At 41.8% G+C, this 16,705-nt stretch overlaps 1 protein-coding gene across 1 annotated transcript in view; it reads left to right on the top strand.

Moving 5' to 3' along the window:
* LPA (lipoprotein(a)) overlaps nt 1–16,705 on the top strand; it is a 132,794-nt gene that overhangs the window by 11,146 nt on the left and 104,943 nt on the right. Inside the window, exons 2-6 of the mRNA NM_005577.4 lie at nt 2,633–2,792; nt 6,735–6,916; nt 8,124–8,283; nt 12,282–12,463; nt 13,671–13,830. Coding sequence (NP_005568.2) covers nt 2,633–2,792; nt 6,735–6,916; nt 8,124–8,283; nt 12,282–12,463; nt 13,671–13,830 — 844 coding nt within the window. The remainder of the gene's footprint in view (nt 1–2,632; nt 2,793–6,734; nt 6,917–8,123; nt 8,284–12,281; nt 12,464–13,670; nt 13,831–16,705) is intronic.

Raw genomic sequence — 16,705 nt, 5'->3', positions numbered from 1 at the left:
CTTCACAGCTCTATTTTCACTAGTATTTGTATATCTTTTTCTCAGCTTTTAAATTGAGATGTTCAGACCATTTGCATTAAAGTAGTTGTTAATAGGATTAAATTTAAATCTACCATTAAGTTGGTTATTTCTCTTTGTCCCATTTAAACTTTGTTCCTTTTTTCATATTTTTCTGCCTTCATTTATATTGAGTTTATCTCCACGACTTACTTATTAAATTAATTTTTAATGGTTTTAGTATTTTCCACAATGTTTATAATATATACTTTGATTTTTTCACATTCCACCTTCAAATGACAGAATTATACTGGATATATAGAAATCTTACATCATTGCACTTCTCCTTCCTCCCTCTCAAAATGTTGTGCTATTGCTCTTTGTAATAGAGGCTTACTTCTATTATGTTATAGCTCTCATAATACATTGACACTATTTTTACCCTGAATAATCAGTTGTTTTTTAAAGTGATTATGACTACAAATATTTTGAATAATTTCTTTATTTTACCATTTCTGGTGCTCCTTATCTTTTACAGTAGATCCCAATTTCCATCTGGAGTCACATTCTTTCTGTGAAAAACAACCTTTAGCATTTCTTATAGCACGGGACTGCTGTTGCTGTTGTCTTTCAGCTTTTCTTTGTCTGAAGAAGTCTTTATTTTGCCTTCAGTTTTTAAAAGTGATTTTGCTGAGTATAGATACTGGGTTGAGAGTTTCATTCCTTGTATCATTTTAACAATGATGTTCCATTATATTCCGTTTTGAATAGTTTCTGACTAGAAATCTGATCTTTGTTTCTTTGTATTCAATAGTTCCTTTTTCTCTGACTGCCTTTAAGATATTCTCATCTTTGTTTTTCAACAGTTTGACTATAATTTGTTTATTATTAACTTTTTGTATTTATTCTGCTTGAGGTTTCCTGAGCTCCTTGGATTTGCAGATTGTTGATTTTTATTGTTTTTGTAAAATTCATAGCCATTATCTATTCTACTGTTTTGTTTTTTTTTTCACTTCTCTCTCTCTGTATTCTTCTTTTTGGACTGTAAGTATTCAAATGTTAGATCATTCATATTGCTTCATAAACCTTATATGCTTCTTCTGCTTTTTTTTTTTTGTCAGGAACTCTTTTTTTGTATCTGTGTTGGTTTGGATAAGTTCTAGTAGACTATGTTCAAGTTTATGGATTATTTTGTTAGTTGTGTCTAATTGACTCCTCAGTGCATTCAGAGAATTCTTCATCTCTGATATTATAAATCTCTTCCTAGCATTTTCATGTTACTCTTTTCTATAGTTTCCATCTCTTTGCTGAAATTCTCCCCCTATCCATGGATATTGTCCACCTTTACCACAAGATTCTTTAACATATTAACATAGGTATCATACAAACCCAAACTGATAGTTTCCAGATGGTGTCTTTTCTGAGTCTGTCTGTCTTGATTGCTTTATTATTTAACAGTGACTTATCTTCCCTCTTCAGCTTTTGGTGTGTCTTGTAATTGTTTAATCAAACACTGGGTATCATAAATGGAGGAACAGTAGAGATTGCAGTAAATATTATTTATGCTTTGAAATGGGCACCCATCTTCTGTTGAAAATATGTTTTGTGGTCAATTGAGTCAACCTAGTAACTGGTTGAACTGAATTTGGCATTTGTGCTTGTTGCTTTTATCTTAAATGCACCACAGGTTTAAATTCCTCCAGTGATGGGTTGCTGCTATCTTTTGCTTAGAGTGGGGCCTGGGGTGTGGAAGAATTTTCTCAGTGTTCCTATCTATTATTAGATTTTAGCAGTCACTGCATGCCTGCACTACAGAGGGGATATCTTCATACACATAATCTAACCCCATTGAAACTGCTGTTTCTTCTTAATGAATGCTCAATCTTTGGTGGAAATAAACAAATGCTGTATCTCCTGGAGCCACTTCAGTCTTAGTCAGGTTCTGCAGGGCTTTGAAGGGAATGCATTCTCAGTATTCTTGTGCCTTATTTGGATGGAACTTGAACCTGTGGTGGGTTTGGAGAGAAAGAGTAGCAGACGTCTGCTATGTTGCAATGCAGGATGCTGGGCACAAGAAAATTTCCAGTCTCTCCTCCAAGGAAATAAGATTTGATCATCTACCTATCCCTGAGAAGTGAAGGGCTTTGCCTGCGGTGCTAGATGCAAAACCATTTTTCTCCCCCCATTGCCCAGAAACTTAAGGCTTTGGCTTTTCTGAGCAGTGGTCTAGGGAATTGTGCAAGGTTTTCATATTTGACCCTGACAGCCCATCACCACCTACAGCTTGCAGTGCCAAATGTATCTCCCTCTGATCTCTCCTGTCCTGTGGTCCTCATGAACATTAAGAAGAGATTTCTAAAAAAGAGCTTGCACATGAGCATAGTTTCTGGTGAGAAGAATTCTGATATGTTAACTTCCTCTAAACTTTTAAATAAAATATTTCTAAGAATTAAATAAAGTTCTAGAATGATATGAATCTATTCCTTTGGTTTTTTGCACGTCTGTCTGCCTGCTAATCAAGAGAAGAGAATGGTCGTAATTCTCAGAGACTTTTTCCTGTTTGTGTCATAAATGACTTCACATTTTTTTCTGTTCTAAGAACTATTCAGCTTGATTTCTTCTGTTTTAATTTTAGCAGCACCTGAGCAAAGCCATGTGGTCCAGGATTGCTACCATGGTGATGGACAGAGTTATCGAGGCACGTACTCCACCACTGTCACAGGAAGGACCTGCCAAGCTTGGTCATCTATGACACCACATCAACATAATAGGACCACAGAAAACTACCCAAATGCGTATGTCATTAATCTTACAGTAAGCAAAACAAGGTCCAAGTAAAATTTGTCTTAGAAAAGGTGTGCGTCAAGCTAACTTCTTATGATTAAATTTTTCTCACACATAGAATGCATGGCAAAATGTCTGAGAAACATTACTTTGAGCAAAGAGTATGATAGAAGAGAAATGTTAAGCTGGCTCTCTTTCCTGAGAGTTTGATAAAATCAGGAGAATATCTGGCGGTGGTGAGGCCACAATAATGGAAAATCAGAATGTTTAGACAGAGTCAGCTTCAACAACACTCACTAAAGGTCAATGTGATCTTTACCCCTTGAAATTCTATAATTCTAATCTCCAATTCCTGAAGTGAAGGTTGTGTTGGCCTTTTCTGTCTTGGCTCACAAGTAAATGATATGTGCATATCTATGGAAAGGCGAATCTATCTTTTTCTATATCTATGTCTATTCCAACGGGTAGAAACACCCTGGGTCCTGAGCACCAGTGGTCTGAAGGAATACGGGTTGCCAGGAAGAGAGAAGCAAAGGCAGGAAGGCAGATGAAAGTAAGAAATGAGACAGATGCTAAACAATAAAAAGTGCGGGAAGATAGACAGAAGCTGGGGTCTGACCACACCATGGCCAGTCTTTCACACATAAGTGACTACCAAAGACAAGAAAAAATGATTTCCGCTTGTTGGACAATAGATGGTAGAGGACCAAGGGAATTGCGAGAGAGAGAACAATGAGATCAACTCAACAGATGCACTGGTTTTCTTCCTGGAGACCCTTCCTGCACTGAAGGGCAGGAGATGGAGCCCAAAAAAAACTGTAGCCATCTTGCTGAACAGAGGAGGGACATTGGAGTTTGGGATTATTCAGGTGGCTAGGATTTTCTAGGCCTGCTAACAATGAGAACAGATTTGTGGAGGAAAGGAGTTCTAGAAATATGCATAGAAATCTCCTCGAGTCATTGGCTAAACATGAAGCTGCATGTACACAGAAAATAGATCCACAAGAAAGTAGGGCAAAGAACATCTACGGAAGAGCAGCAACTACAATGGAACAGTGAGCTCAATAAACATGACAGAGCTCAAATAGCACTAAGGGATATTGGAGTTTGGACCACACAGAGGAGAGAGACTTCACTGAACATCTTGGGCATTCAGTAGAGACCCAGGAAAAGCCATACTTTAGGAGTAGAATTAGTATATTCTTAGAATAAAGGCAGCTCCACACAAACAATAGCAAAACTGAAAAGGAAGTCTCCAAGCATCAGAATGATGTCCAAGTCAATGAACTGCCTCTGAGAGGAAAACTCAACCATCTTTAGAGGTAAACATCAAAGTCAAGTGGCTCAGCTATGCAGTATCCACAGTGTGAGGCCTAAATATAAAACTTGACTACACATAGAAACCTTTTAGTGTGACCCACAAGCAGGAGGAAAATCAGCCAATACAAACAGACCCAGAAGAGACAGAAATGATTAGAATGGCATAAAAATTTGACATATCACTATATAATAATTGAGTTCTAGGATTTAAGAAAACATGAATATAGAATGCAACAGACACCTTATCCAGAGACAGTAAGAGTATAAAGAGCCAAATCGAAGAACTACTAAGAGATATGTCTTAAATGAAAAAATTACTAGATGGCCTCCCCATCTAGTTAGACATTTCAGAAGAAAATACCAAATGAAAAATAATTGCATAGAACCTACAGAACCAGATACACACATACAAAACACACGCATGCATACACACACACTCAAACATGTATAAGCTTACAAACACACACACACATCCACAAATGCTGAAAAATGAAATCAACCGAGCCACACAGACATAAAGGAAAACATAAAAAGATTTCCTACATGTGGGAAGCAAGTCACAGAAAGGGGGAAGGAGATTGGAACAGAAATATATACTGAAAGCAAGGATGGCTGAAAATTTTCCAAATATAAAGAAGATTAAAAAATCACGGACTCAAGAAGCTCAATGGATCAGAAAAATAATTTCTAAAATGACAATTATAGGATGCCACTGGGTACATAGCAGTTCAACTGTCAGAGGGCAAAGACATAATACACAGAAAAATCTCGTAAGGAACGGGAAAAACAAAAAGCTGTGTCTTGCTAGAGGAACAGTGATACAAGTGACTAATGTGTTCCCATCAGAAACACTGCAACCTGGACACAAAAGAATAACATTAAAGTAATAAACGTAAGAAAGAAGAGCTCAACTGAGAAGGCTACATCCAGCAATAAAATGCCTTGAAGTTCATCCATGTTGGAGGAATGCACATTGTGCACTCCCCTAAACAAAGAAACCGGAAACTGTAAGACTTTGGAATCAGCAGGCTTATGTAACAAAAGAGGTGACCCTAAGGAATTAAGGAGAAGAAGAATAGAACAAGAAGGGAACTTTCTGCAGCCTATATAATGAAGAACCTAGCAATTGGCAAATGTAGATGAAAATGCTACATGTTTTCTTGATCAAACGTTTATATCTTTTTAAATGAGAGTTGACGAGTTGAAGCAAAATGATACCAATATATTTAACTTTACCATATGTAGAAGTAAAAATTTGAACATGTAGCATAAATCATGTAGGGATTAATTGGAAGTGTACCACTGTAAGTTTCTTACCTCATGCACGATAGTATGTAATACTAATAAAAGGTTAATGTGTGGGTTCAAAGGGATATTGCAAATCCTAGAGCAATCACAAAGTTTTTAACTCTGAGGTTTGTTGTATAATAACAATATTTTATGTATTCAAAAGAGGGAAGCCAAGGAAGAAAAAAAAGTCTTTAAAGAGCTCTGGCTCTTAGTACATCCAGTTGCTCATTGAATGAGCTTCCTGGAATGGAGGGTCTGGGACTGAGACTAGGCCACATGTGTAGAGCCACTAGAGACACAATGTTGGATCCCCATGGCCCATAATACATTTCCCATTTTCTCAGGCAGCCACAGGTCATGAATGTGAGGATACTGAGAGGTTGGAGCAACGTTCTTGGGAGGCATAAGGAAGAGCGAATGCTTCAAGATCCCCGCAGCCCAAACTCCTCAGCTGCTTTGCCTCCTAATTCATTGTTTTTTGCTCCTCCATAGCTGTCCGACCTCTTCAGATCTCTTAGTCTTCCTGCCATCTTCCTTTATGCCATGGGACCCACTGTTCTTTCAACTCATCCCCCAGTTCTGGAGTGGCTGTGGACAGCAGAGGATAGACTGAGAGCAGGAGAGAAGGTCCTGCCCAGGAACCCATTCTAGAGATACTGCATTCTGCCTGGGAGCAAGTTTTCCAGGGCAGCTTTGAGAAGTCTTGCAGAAACAAACCTACTTGACCGACATGATATGGGAATGACAGACAGTAATACTATTTGCACAATGCTTTTCCATGGGAAAGGTAGAGCCTTTTCACTAGGTTTTGAGTACATGGAGTGTGAGAGTTGACCTGGAAAGGTTATCCTCCTTGATGCCATGTTTTCTCTGAAGAACTACATGTTCGTTGCAACTCCCACATTAGAATATGAAGTCCTACCGAGAGAGATACGGAGACTAGACAGATACAGATGCATTTGCATGTGAATACACAATCCCACAATACAGACGTCAAAACCCATACCAGTTATTCCAGAGAGATGGATTGGGCAGAAGGCAGAAGGAGAATACTCTGATCGTTTTTCGGCCACGTGTGTGTGTTATCTCAGTGTTTCTAAGAAGCGTTTGCTACTTTAGATTTTTTATTTAAAAAAAATAGTAATAATCTATTAAGTATGAGAGATGTGCAGAGAGGATTAGTGATCGAGAGCCATTTTTGCTGGTGGCAATCATATGGTACTTTTAATGGGAATATTAGAAAGGCACCGGTAATGACCTTGTTGCAGCACAAAGGAGAGAGTGTGGGGTGCCCCTGCATGTTGTCCCACCTCTTGTGACGTGTATCGTTTTGGAATTTCCAGTGGCTTGATCATGAACTACTGCAGGAATCCAGATGCTGTGGCAGCTCCTTATTGTTATACGAGGGATCCCGGTGTCAGGTGGGAGTACTGCAACCTGACGCAATGCTCAGACGCAGAAGGGACTGCCGTCGCGCCTCCGACTGTTACCCCGGTTCCAAGCCTAGAGGCTCCTTCCGAACAAGGTAAGGAGTCTGTGGCCAGACATCTACACGCTTCGATGCTGGGATGAAAAGCCATGGAAATTCCCACTGATGCAGCCGCCTTCAATGGTAAACGGATGCTCGAGTGTTGCCTGAGTTCTACCATGTAGGAGGAAGCCTCCGTGCACTCTCTGGGGGAGCCAGCGGAGTGATTTCTGGTGCAACGTGGTTGGGCTTTGTCTTTAGGATGGGCACAAACCCTCCAGGGGGATCGACTTCAAAATTCACCTTGTTGTAAAACGGGCTACCTCAGTGTCCCAGCCAAAATTTTTATTGTAACATGCTGTCAGGTGTGTCACTCTTTCCAAGCCAGTAAGCTTTTCCGGGGATTTCTTCAAGTAGCCAGCATTCAGAGCAATCTTCAGCATTGCAGATTCTGAGAAATGTGGCTCTGGAGCCTGTCACCCTCGAGAAACCTAAGAGGGCTGCATTGATTCCATGTGGCCCTGGGTCTATGGAGCAGTACATGAGCTCCCAGTGCTCTAAGGCTCTTCAGCCCTAGGCTTTGAAGGGAGTGATTTCTCAGTATTCTTAAACCTCTTTCTGATGACACTTGTACCTGTGAGGGGTCTAGAGAGAAAGAGTAGTAGACTCCTACTTTACTACAATTCAGGATGCAGGGCATGAGAGGATTCCCTCTCTCCTCCAAGGGAAGAAGCTTTTGGCGTGCACACATCCCTGAGAAGCAAAGTGTCTTTGTCTTCAGTCAGATACATAGGACCGTTTTCTGCCCCATGGCCCGGAAGCCAAAGGCCTTGGCTTTCATGATCAACGGTCTAGGGAAACATGCAAAATTTCCATGTCTGTCCCAAACTCTGCCCCCGACAGCCAATTACCACCTGCAGCCCGCATTGCCAAATGCGGTGCCGTTTGCATGAAGATTCAGTAGAGTTTCCTAGAAAGGTGCTACCTCGTGAGCTCACTTTCCAATGAGGAATCTGATCTGTTGTGTTTCTCTAAGGTGTCAGGTGAAATATTTCCAAGAACTTACTACAGTTCTAGAATGGGAGGAATCTGTTGCTTTGGTGTTTGTTTGTTGGTCGGTTTTCTCACATCCATCTGCCTATGGATAAGGAAAAGAGAACGGTCGTAATTCTCATAGACTCCTTTCTGGTTGTGTCACAAATGGCTTCACATGTTTCTCTATGCTCAGAGATACTCAGCTTGATTTCCCGTGTTTTCATTTCAGCACCGACTGAGCAAAGGCCTGGGGTGCAGGAGTGCTACCATGGTAATGGACAGAGTTATCGAGGCACATACTCCACCACTGTCACAGGAAGAACCTGCCAAGCTTGGTCATCTATGACACCACACTCGCATAGTCGGACCCCAGAATACTACCCAAATGCGTATGTCTTTGTTCTTTACCATAAGAGAAGAAAGGGCCAAGTGAAGTTTCTGTTACAAGAGATGTGTCTCAAGCTGAGTTCTCCGAACTCAACTTGTGACAGATGCAGATGGCGTAGCAAAATGTCTCAGGATGATTGCCTTGGAGCTAAGGGTCTGAGAGAAGGGAAATGTTAAGCTCCCTCTCCTTCCTCCTAGTTCTATTGAGCAGAAGGGAAATCTGGAGGTGAGGAGATCACATTATGAAGAAAGTCAGAATGACAAAGGACCAGACACTTAGATTACCCTTCCACAACACCAACTAAACGTCAATGGAGACTTTCCAGTTGGAATTCCGTTATTCTGGCTTCCACTTCCTGAAGGGAAGGTTGCGTTTGCCTTTTCTCTCTGGGTTCAAGAGGAAAGAATAGGTGCTTATTTATGGACAGGTGAATTGATCTGTTTCTATATCTACGTATATTCCGATTGTCAGAAAAACACTCGTTCCTAAGTACCAGTGGCCTGAAGGGATACAGGTTCCCAGCAAGAGAAGATCCAAGGAAGGAAGGCAGATGAGAGTCAGCACAGAGAGGGATGCTGAAAAGTAAAAGGGATGGGTGGATGGAGAGAAGCCCGGGTCTGACCACCCAATGGCCAATATTTTGGCCACAAGCGACTACCAGAGACATGGAAAAATGGTTTCTACATGTGGGACAACAGATGGTAGAGGACCTAGAGAATTGAGAGAGGGGCAATGATGGGCTCCACTCCGCAGATGCCTTGGCTTTCTTCCTGGATACCCTTCCTGCACTGAATAGCAAGGAGATGGAGCCCAAGCAGACTGTAGCCATCTTGCTGAATGGAGGAGAGGGATTGGAGTTTGGGATGACTGTGGTAGCTGAAATTTTTCTAGGTCTGCTAGAAATAAGAACTGGTTTGTGTGGAGGAAAAGAGCTCTACAAATACGCATAGAAGTCTCCTCCAGTCGTTGGCCTGACATGACGCTGCCTGTGCACAGGAAATGGTTCCACGAGAAAGTGTGGCAAAGAACATTTACTGAGAAACAGCAAGTACAAGAGCACAGGAAGCTCAATAAAGAAGAGAGAGATCACATAGCACTCTGGGATACTGGAGTTCTTCCCAGCTAGACCAGAGAGTCCTCACGGAGCACATTGCCAATTCAGTGGAGACCCCAGAACAGCCGTAATTTAAAGGTACACTTAGTATATTACTAGAATAAAGTCAGCTGCAGACAACCCCTTGCACAGCTGGAAAGCAAGTGTCCAAGCATCAAATCGGTTTCCAATCAATGAAGTGCCTGTGAGAGGAAATCTCAACTCTCTTTAGAAGTAAACAACAAAGTCGATTGCCTCAGCTATGCGGTATCCGCAGAGTGAGTCCTAAATTTAAAATCTGACTACATGTAGAAAAGCGTTTCGTGTGACCCATGACCAGGAAATAAATCGGGTAATACAAACAGGCTCAGGAATGAGAGAAATGATTAGAATTGCGTGAAAATTTGACATATCAGTATGATAACTGATTTCAAATATTTAAAAAAACAACATGCAAGAAAGCAGATATCATATCAAGAGAAATTAACAGTACAGAATAGCCAAATTAAATTAAAGAGGTAGTATAAAAAAAGTATGTCTTAATTGAAAAAAATTACTGTATGGCCGGCTGATCAATTTAGACGTTTCAGAGGAAAACATTACCCAACACACAATTCTAGAGAACCTACAGAATGAGCTACACACACACACACACACACACACACACACACTGAAAACACACCCATACTCACACACACGCAGAAACTCACAAGTTCTAACACACACAGACACGCGCACCCCTGAAGAAACAGTGAAATATAAAATTAAGCGAGCCTCACAGACATGTAGGAAAATATGAAAAGATTTCCTGCATGTGGGAAGCAAGTCACAGTAAAGAGCAAGGGAGTTTATAATAGAAACAAATACCAGAATCAAGGATGGCTGATAACTTTTCAATTACGAAGAACATTAAAAAAAATCACAGAATCGTGAAACTCAAGGGATCATATAGGGAATTTCGGAAAAAAAACCCAACCTGTATGATGTACTTTTGTACATCACAGTTCGAAGGTAACAAGGCAAAGATGTAATAAGAAGAAACCTGTCACGAGAAACTGGAGGAAAAAGAGCTGTGTCTTCCTACAAGTACACTGATACAAATTGCCAATGTGTTCACCTCAGAAACACTGGAAGCCAGATACCAGGGAATATTGTTAAAATGATAATCAGGAACAAAAAGAGATCAACCGGGAATGCTGAATCCAGCAATAAAATGCCTTGAAGGTCATCCATGTCGGATAAATGCATATTGTGCACTGCCCCAAAGAAAGAAACCGGAAACTGTAAGAATTGGAAATCAGCAGGCTTATGTAACAAGAGAGGTGACCCGAAGGAATTAGGTAGAAGAAGAATTGAACAAGAAAGGAACTTTCTGCAGCCCACGTAATGAAGAATCCAGCAATTGGCAAATGTAGATAGATGTAAATGCAAAATATTTTCTTGATCAAATTTCTATATCTTTGTAAATGAGAGTTGACTACTTGAAACAAAATGATAGCAAGATATTTAACTTCAGCATATGTAGAGGTAAGAATTTGAAATGGTAGCATAAATCACGAAGGGATTAATTCGAAGTGTACCGTTGTAAGTTTCTTTACCTCATGCACGATGGTGTGTCATATTAATAAAAGGGTACTGTGCGGGTTCGAAGGGATATTGCAAATCCTAGAGCAATCACAAAGGTTTGAACTCTGAGGTTTTTGGTATAATAAGAATAGTCCATGCATTCAAAAGAGGGAAGCCAAGGAAGAACTAGAAGTCTTTCAAGAGCTCAGGCTCTTATACATCCAGTTGCTCATTGAACCAGCTTCCTGGAATGGAGGGTCTGGGGTTGAGACTAGGCCACAAGTCTAGAGTCTCTAGAGAGACAGTGTTGGAACCCCATGGCCCATAATACATTTCCCATTTTCTCAGGCAGCCAGAGGTCATGAATGTGAGGATACTGGGAGGTTGGAGCAACGTTCTTGGGAGGCATAAGGAAGAGCGAATGCTTCAAGATCCCCGCAGCCCAAACTACTCGCCTGCTTTGCCCCCTAATGCATTTTTCTCTGCTGCTCCGTAGCTGTCCGACCTCTTCAGATCTCTTAGTCCACCCTGCCGTCTTCCTTTATGCCATGGGTCCCACTGTTCTTTCAACTCATCCCCCTTTCCCTCAGTCCCGGAGTAGCTGCGGCCAGCAGAGGGTAGACTGAGAGCAGGAGAGAAGGACCTGCCTAGGAACCCCTTCTAGAGATACTGCATCCTGCCTGGGAGCAAGTTTTCCAGGGCAGCTTTGAGAAGTCTTGGAGAAACAAACCTACTAAACCTGACAGACAGTAATACTATTTGCACAATGCTTTTCTGTGGGAAAGGTAGAGCCTTTTCACTACGTATTGAGTACATAGAGTGTGAGGGTTGACCTGGAACGGCTATCCTCCTGGATGACGTGTGTTTTCTGAAGAACTACATGTTCGTTGCAACTCCCACATTAGAATATGAAGTCCTACCGAGAGAGATACGGAGACTAGACAGATACAGATGCATTTGCATGTGAATACACAATCCCACAATACAGACGTCAAAACCCATACCAGTTATTCCAGAGAGATGGATTGGGCAGAAGGCAGAAGGAGAATACTCTGATCGTTTTTCGGCCACGTGTGTGTGTTATCTCAGTGTTTCTAAGAAGCGTTTGCTACTTTAGATTTTTTATTTAAAAAAATAGTAATAATCTATTAAGTATGAGAGATGTGCAGAGAGGATTAGTGATCGAGAGCCATTTTTGCTGGTGGCAATCATATGGTACTTTTAATGGGAATATTAGAAAGGCACCGGTAATGACCTTGTTGCAGCACAAAGGAGAGAGTGTGGGGTGCCCCTGCATGTTGTCCCACCTCTTGTGACGTGTATCGTTTTGGAATTTCCAGTGGCTTGATCATGAACTACTGCAGGAATCCAGATGCTGTGGCAGCTCCTTATTGTTATACGAGGGATCCCGGTGTCAGGTGGGAGTACTGCAACCTGACGCAATGCTCAGACGCAGAAGGGACTGCCGTCGCGCCTCCGACTGTTACCCCGGTTCCAAGCCTAGAGGCTCCTTCCGAACAAGGTAAGGAGTCTGTGGCCAGACATCTACACGCTTCGATGCTGGGATGAAAAGCCATGGAAATTCCCACTGATGCAGCCGCCTTCAATGGTAAACGGATGCTCGAGTGTTGCCTGAGTTCTACCATGTAGGAGGAAGCCTCCGTGCACTCTCTGGGGGAGCCAGCGGAGTGATTTCTGGTGCAACGTGGTTGGGCTTTGTCTTTAGGATGGGCACAAACCCTCCAGGGGGATCGACTTCAAAATTCACCTTGTTGTAAAACGGGCTACCTCAGTGTCCCAGCCAAAATTTTTATTGTAACATGCTGTCAGGTGTGTCACTCTTTCCAAGCCAGTAAGCTTTTCCGGGGATTTCTTCAAGTAGCCAGCATTCAGAGCAATCTTCAGCATTGCAGATTCTGAGAAATGTGGCTCTGGAGCCTGTCACCCTCGAGAAACCTAAGAGGGCTGCATTGATTCCATGTGGCCCTGGGTCTATGGAGCAGTACATGAGCTCCCAGTGCTCTAAGGCTCTTCAGCCCTAGGCTTTGAAGGGAGTGATTTCTCAGTATTCTTAAACCTCTTTCTGATGACACTTGTACCTGTGAGGGGTCTAGAGAGAAAGAGTAGTAGACTCCTACTTTACTACAATTCAGGATGCAGGGCATGAGAGGATTCCCTCTCTCCTCCAAGGGAAGAAGCTTTTGGCGTGCACACATCCCTGAGAAGCAAAGTGTCTTTGTCTTCAGTCAGATACATAGGACCGTTTTCTGCCCCATGGCCCGGAAGCCAAAGGCCTTGGCTTTCATGATCAACGGTCTAGGGAAACATGCAAAATTTCCATGTCTGTCCCAAACTCTGCCCCCGACAGCCAATTACCACCTGCAGCCCGCATTGCCAAATGCGGTGCCGTTTGCATGAAGATTCAGTAGAGTTTCCTAGAAAGGTGCTACCTCGTGAGCTCACTTTCCAATGAGGAATCTGATCTGTTGTGTTTCTCTAAGGTGTCAGGTGAAATATTTCCAAGAACTTACTACAGTTCTAGAATGGGAGGAATCTGTTGCTTTGGTGTTTGTTTGTTGGTCGGTTTTCTCACATCCATCTGCCTATGGATAAGGAAAAGAGAACGGTCGTAATTCTCATAGACTCCTTTCTGGTTGTGTCACAAATGGCTTCACATGTTTCTCTATGCTCAGAGATACTCAGCTTGATTTCCCGTGTTTTCATTTCAGCACCGACTGAGCAAAGGCCTGGGGTGCAGGAGTGCTACCATGGTAATGGACAGAGTTATCGAGGCACATACTCCACCACTGTCACAGGAAGAACCTGCCAAGCTTGGTCATCTATGACACCACACTCGCATAGTCGGACCCCAGAATACTACCCAAATGCGTATGTCTTTGTTCTTTACCATAAGAGAAGAAAGGGCCAAGTGAAGTTTCTGTTACAAGAGATGTGTCTCAAGCTGAGTTCTCCGAACTCAACTTGTGACAGATGCAGATGGCGTAGCAAAATGTCTCAGGATGATTGCCTTGGAGCTAAGGGTCTGAGAGAAGGGAAATGTTAAGCTCCCTCTCCTTCCTCCTAGTTCTATTGAGCAGAAGGGAAATCTGGAGGTGAGGAGATCACATTATGAAGAAAGTCAGAATGACAAAGGACCAGACACTTAGATTACCCTTCCACAACACCAACTAAACGTCAATGGAGACTTTCCAGTTGGAATTCCGTTATTCTGGCTTCCACTTCCTGAAGGGAAGGTTGCGTTTGCCTTTTCTCTCTGGGTTCAAGAGGAAAGAATAGGTGCTTATTTATGGACAGGTGAATTGATCTGTTTCTATATCTACGTATATTCCGATTGTCAGAAAAACACTCGTTCCTAAGTACCAGTGGCCTGAAGGGATACAGGTTCCCAGCAAGAGAAGATCCAAGGAAGGAAGGCAGATGAGAGTCAGCACAGAGAGGGATGCTGAAAAGTAAAAGGGATGGGTGGATGGAGAGAAGCCCGGGTCTGACCACCCAATGGCCAATATTTTGGCCACAAGCGACTACCAGAGACATGGAAAAATGGTTTCTACATGTGGGACAACAGATGGTAGAGGACCTAGAGAATTGAGAGAGGGGCAATGATGGGCTCCACTCCGCAGATGCCTTGGCTTTCTTCCTGGATACCCTTCCTGCACTGAATAGCAAGGAGATGGAGCCCAAGCAGACTGTAGCCATCTTGCTGAATGGAGGAGAGGGATTGGAGTTTGGGATGACTGTGGTAGCTGAAATTTTTCTAGGTCTGCTAGAAATAAGAACTGGTTTGTGGAGGAAAAGAGCTCTACAAATACGCATAGAAGTCTCCTCCAGTCGTTGGCCTGACATGACGCTGCCTGTGCACAGGAAATGGTTCCACGAGAAAGTGTGGCAAAGAACATTTACTGAGAAACAGCAAGTACAAGAGCACAGGAAGCTCAATAAAGAAGAGAGAGATCACATAGCACTCTGGGATACTGGAGTTCTTCCCAGCTAGACCAGAGAGTCCTCACGGAGCACATTGCCAATTCAGTGGAGACCCCAGAACAGCCGTAATTTAAAGGTACACTTAGTATATTACTAGAATAAAGTCAGCTGCAGACAACCCCTTGCACAGCTGGAAAGCAAGTGTCCAAGCATCAAATCGGTTTCCAATCAATGAAGTGCCTGTGAGAGGAAATCTCAACTCTCTTTAGAAGTAAACAACAAAGTCGATTGCCTCAGCTATGCGGTATCCGCAGAGTGAGTCCTAAATTTAAAATCTGACTACATGTAGAAAAGCGTTTCGTGTGACCCATGACCAGGAAATAAATCGGGTAATACAAACAGGCTCAGGAATGAGAGAAATGATTAGAATTGCGTGAAAATTTGACATATCAGTATGATAACTGATTTCAAATATTTAAAAAAACAACATGCAAGAAAGCAGATATCATATCAAGAGAAATTAACAGTACAGAATAGCCAAATTAAATTAAAGAGCTAGTATAAAAAAAGTATGTCTTAATTGAAAAAAATTACTGTATGGCCGGCTGATCAATTTAGACGTTTCAGAGGAAAACATTACCCAACACACAATTCTAGAGAACCTACAGAATGAGCTACACACACACACACACACACACACACAAACTGAAAACACACCCATACTCACACACACGCAGAAACTCACAAGTTCTAACACACACAGACACGCGCACCCCTGAAGAAACAGTGAAATATAAAATTAAGCGAGCCTCACAGACATGTAGGAAAATATGAAAAGATTTCCTGCATGTGGGAAGCAAGTCACAGTAAAGAGCAAGGGAGTTTGGAATAGAAACAAATACCGGAATCAAGGATGGCTGATAACTTTTCAATTACGAAGAACATTAAAAAAAATCACAGAATCGTGAAACTCAAGGGATCACATAGGGAATTTCGGAAAAAAAACCCAACCTGTATGATGTACTTTTGTACATCACAGTTCGAAGGTAACAAGGCAAAGATATAATAAGAAGAAACCTGTCACGAGAAACTGGAGGAAAAAGAGCTGTGTCTTCCTACAAGTACACTGATACAAATTGCCAATGTGTTCACCTCAGAAACACTGGAAGCCAGATACCAGGGAATATTGTTAAAATGATAATCAGGAACAAAAAGAGATCAACCGGGAATGCTGAATCCAGCAATAAAATGCCTTGAAGATCATCCATGTCGGATAAATGCATATTGTGCACTGCCCCAAAGAAAGAAACCGGAAACTGTAAGAATTGGAAATCAGCAGGCTTATGTAACAAGAGAGGTGACCCGAAGGAATTAGGTAGAAGAAGAATTGAACAAGAAAGGAACTTTCTGCAGCCCACGTAATGAAGAATCCAGCAATTGGCAAATGTAGATAGATGTAAATGCAAAATATTTTCTTGATCAAATTTCTATATCTTTGTAAATGAGAGTTGACTACTTGAAACAAAATGATAGCAAGATATTTAACTTCAGCATATGTAGAGGTAAGAATTTGAAATGGTAGCATAAATCACGAAGGGATTAATTCGAAGTGTACCGTTGTAAGTTTCTTTACCTCATGCACGATGGTGTGTCATATTAATAAAAGGGTACTGTGCGGGTTCGAAGGGATATTGCAAATCCTAGAGCAATCACAAAGGTTTGAACTCTGAGGTTTTTGGTATAATAAGAATAGTCCATGCATTCAAAAGAGGGAAGCCAAGGAAGAACTAGAAGTCTTTCAAGAGCTCAGGCTCTTATACAT

Source organism: Homo sapiens, chromosome 6, assembly GCF_000001405.40.
Source record: "Homo sapiens chromosome 6, GRCh38.p14 Primary Assembly".
In the NCBI taxonomy this organism is placed as follows: Eukaryota; Metazoa; Chordata; class Mammalia; order Primates; family Hominidae; genus Homo; species Homo sapiens.
This window is presented reverse-complemented; position numbering and strand designations above follow the sequence as displayed.